Here is a 3,886-nt window from a genome sequence, read left to right on the forward strand (position 1 = left end):
TAGGTAAAATGGGCTTACAGATGGGAGGGAAAACTCTCATTTTCAGAATTTTCAAAAATCTCTGTATTAGTTCATTTTTGCACTGCTATAAAGAACTTCCCTGAGACTGGGTAATTTATAAAGGAAACAGGTTTAATTGATTCACAGTTTTGCATGGCTGGGGAGGCCTCAGGAAACTTACAGTTGTGGTGAAACGGGAAGCAGGCACCTTTCTCACAAGCTGGCAATAGAGAAAGAGAGAGCATGTGAAGGAGGAGCTGTCAGACACTTACAAACCCATCAGACCTCTTGAGAATTCACTCAATATCACTAGAACAGCATGGGGGAACCACCCCCACGATCCAATCATCTCCAGCCAGGTTCCTTCCTCGACCCATGGGGATTATGGGGATCCTAATTCTAGATGAGATTTGGGTAGGAACACTGAGCCAAACCATATCAATCTCCAAATAATATTTATTAAAATAGTTCAAAGTAGTTCTATTCAATAAATGATTATAAGTTCTATTATAAAAGATATTTAAACACTTTAAATAAATGTATTGCAAATAACTTGCCCTATTCTTCAAATTGTGTTCATTGACAGCTAGCAATGATGTTCACATTGTATAAATTTTCATTAGAAATACAGGATATATTTTTAACCTTCTTTTTCAAACTTAGACGCTGTTTCTGGTACAGATATTTTTTCCCTACTGTTCATTTTCCTTTTGCAAACTTAATGAGAAAATGATGAGTCATAGAAGAGATTGGAGATGATTCATCAGACAATTCAAATTTGTTGAAAATCTATAAAACAAAGCCCTTTTATAGGCACCATGTGGCAAAGAAAATTGATTTCTAAAGTCAGATAACATGAGTTCAAATCCCAGCTTTCCCCTTATTAATGCTGAGATTTTACTCTTGCTATTTAACTTTTAAGCCCCCAAGTCTTCATTGCTAACAAGAAGTAATTTTCATTTCTACTCTATATGAATAGGAAAATGTACCATAAATTAAGGTATTGTACAAAGGTAGTTTTTGGCATTAAGAACATGGGAAAGTATGGTCTCTCCATCTCATGGAAATGCAAATGCTGCACACCCACTCCACTTGGAGCTGCTTTGCTTTTGTTCTGACCCTGATGGTTCTGGCAGGGTGGATGGGAGAAGTCAGTGAGCCCTGAGTGAGGTCATCATACTTTTAAAACAGGCTTCTGTTTTCTGTGAAAAGTCCCTTGAATCAAGATGAACCACCGCCTATGCATCCCTGAAGACCTGCTGGCATGATAATGAAGGAACCTGGCTGCCCTCATAGTTCAATCAAAACCCTTTACACTTCCTCCATAAAAGATCGGGGTGTGAATGCCTGAACTAAACTTTTCCTTGGGGAGTGAGCGCTGCATAGATCAGAAAAAAAAAAAAAAAAAAAACCTAGAAAAAAACATAAAGTAAAAGTTAAAAAGCTATTTTACTGGAAATAAATCAGTTTTTGCACTTTCCTGGGTGGACAGATCATCAAAAAGGATTGTTCATCTACAATTGTATCTCCCAGGTGTCCATCCTTTCATCCCCTCAAAGTCTGGATGCTTTTTTCATGTTCCACTATCATTAACCCAACAAAGTCACAGCTGCCACCCCAAGACCTTTGCTTAATGAGAAAATAAACTGAAGGCATTTGGGGAAAGAATTTTAAATGGAATCTCATTAATTTGTTGTTTCAGAAAGCAGTCACCATTAGCAATCATTCCATTGCTTCAAACAGAGAAGATGTTTTATGCAATCCAGTATATTATGCCCCCTCTCTGCGGGAAGGGACCAGGGCTAATGTCAGAGCTTGCCTTGTCATTCTGACTATACTGCAGCATTTCCTGGAAAACTGGAGGCATTTATATTCTTTCATTTTCTAATCTACTTAGAGGTTACTTCATGTTTTATTTAAGCTGGAAAGTCATCTTTAATCTAACACAAGAGGAATAGCTGCCTCACTGGGATTCTTCCAGTGACTTGATCCTTCCTCATGGCGTTCACGTCACTTAAGACCTGTAGGTAAGTCCAGTCGTTAAGTGATAATATTATATTCCTGGTTTTGACTCACTGCTCCCAGGACCACCTAACTCATAGATCCTGAAAGCGTATATTTTAATTTCAGTTCCCCTGAAGCAAGAATTATCCTGTTGGTAGCTTATTTGGAGGTGATTTTAGGATGCATAAGTGAGGGATGGGAGAAAGAAAGAGAAAGGAGAAAATCCAATAAATATCTCATTATTTCGTTTTCACTGTGGGCTACTGGAATTCAAGAGCAAAGGAGACCCTGAGAAACTTACCACTGAAATAAGGAAGGCTGAGTTCATATCTGGTAGCGGGACATCCCTCATCATGCTGACTCCCCAACCCTCCTGGGCTGTGACAGAGCAGGAGCACTGTCATCTGGGACAAACACCACCACTTTAGGTTCCAGTTCCCTTTCTAGCCTCATGCATTACAAGGAGATCATTTCTATTCTAACAAGCAGACAGAAAGAGCAGACAGTAAAACAAAGGTAAGACAGCCCAGGCACAGCGGGAAGTAGGGGGAAAGTCTCTTGGGTAACTGCCAAACTTCACCCTCACACAATGGGCCCCAGTAAAACAGCGGGCTTTAATAAGCACATTCCTTTCTCTTCAGATGCACTAAGATAGGGAAGCTAAAAGCAGACTTGGGGGATATGCCTGCAGCTGCAGAAAGATTTATGGGAACAGACACACAACTCTCCCTCTCAGATAAGCACAACAAAGAGACACAGAAGAAGTCCAAGCCTCTAATAAACTTCCCTACCCTAAATCCTTAAAAACTCTTAGCCTGTAAGCGAGTGTGGCTCTGAGCTAACTCAGCCAGCCGCCCCAGGTTTATTTAAAATAAACCTGTCCTTGCTGACCGAAACGCCACCCTTCATGTTTCTCTCCTCTTTCTTGAATTCTTATAGGCTGTACCTGCGTTCGGGCTGATGTGCCTCCCGTGGCTTCTGAGAAAGCAGAGAGAACATAGCCATGTGAAGGAATTGCCCATTCCAGCTATGTTGAAATCAGGGACAAGGGACCTCTGCTCCAGGGTAGAGCATGAGTTCTAAGAGGTGTGGGTGGCTGCTTATGCAGTGGAAAGCTGCATTTAATGTATCTTATGTTTTTGCCTCTTTTCAGCCAATGGAATTGCATGTTACAAGATTCAAAGCCACAGACTTAACAACATTATACTGTGCACTAGACAAAGCAATGCTGAGTTTCAGTTCCAGTTGTAAGCCCACCTAGTTATGTAACATCATTCATGGGAAGGCCTCAGATTTTTTTCAAGAGTGCTATGAAAATTATGGCTTTACATAGAATAAATGTGAAGGGGAAAAATTCACCTTGATACCACTGGCCTCTCTCTGTAATGTTTTTCATTGCTATTTCCTCCTCTCATTTTATTTTAGTTATAGGATTATTGTTTTAGAGACAAGATCTCACTCTGTTGCCCAGTCTGGAGTGCAGTGGCAACATCATAGCTCACTGCCGCCTGGAGCTCCTGGGCTCAAGAGATTCCCTCACCTCAGCCTCCTGCATAGCTGGGACTAAAGGTGTGTGCCACCATGCCTGGCTAATTATTTTAGAGACATAGTCTTGCTATGTTAACCCAGGATGGTCTTGAACCCTGACCTCAAGTGACCCACCAACCTCAGCCTCTGGAGTCACTGGGATTTCAGATGTAAGTCACCATGTCCAGCTGTTCCCTTTCATTTGAGAAGTCCCATTGTCTCAAGTTATTCTTCCTCTTTCTCCTTTCAACATCTTTCATTAGTAATAGATTTATTAGACTTATTTTACTAGGGTTTGGGAGTTGTTTGGGAAATATTTGCATTTAGTTAGGAGGTAAGAAGATGCAGTACAAAT

At 40.7% G+C, this 3,886-nt stretch overlaps 2 annotated features.

Moving 5' to 3' along the window:
- Positions 2,194–2,782: an enhancer, noted in NCBI's record as "OCT4-NANOG-H3K27ac hESC enhancer chr2:117844947-117845535 (GRCh37/hg19 assembly coordinates)". NCBI's record gives its function as "activates a minimal SCP1, AML or CMV promoter by ChIP-STARR-seq in naive H9 embryonic stem cells {active_cell/tissue: H9 hESC(naive)}" and the evidence as "EXISTENCE:reporter gene assay evidence [ECO:0000049][PMID:30033119]".
- Positions 2,783–3,370: an enhancer, noted in NCBI's record as "OCT4-NANOG-H3K27ac hESC enhancer chr2:117845536-117846123 (GRCh37/hg19 assembly coordinates)". NCBI's record gives its function as "activates a minimal SCP1, AML or CMV promoter by ChIP-STARR-seq in naive H9 embryonic stem cells {active_cell/tissue: H9 hESC(naive)}" and the evidence as "EXISTENCE:reporter gene assay evidence [ECO:0000049][PMID:30033119]".

The sequence above is a fragment of the Homo sapiens genome, chromosome 2 (genome assembly GCF_000001405.40).
Source record: "Homo sapiens chromosome 2, GRCh38.p14 Primary Assembly".
Taxonomy (NCBI): domain Eukaryota; kingdom Metazoa; phylum Chordata; class Mammalia; order Primates; family Hominidae; genus Homo; species Homo sapiens.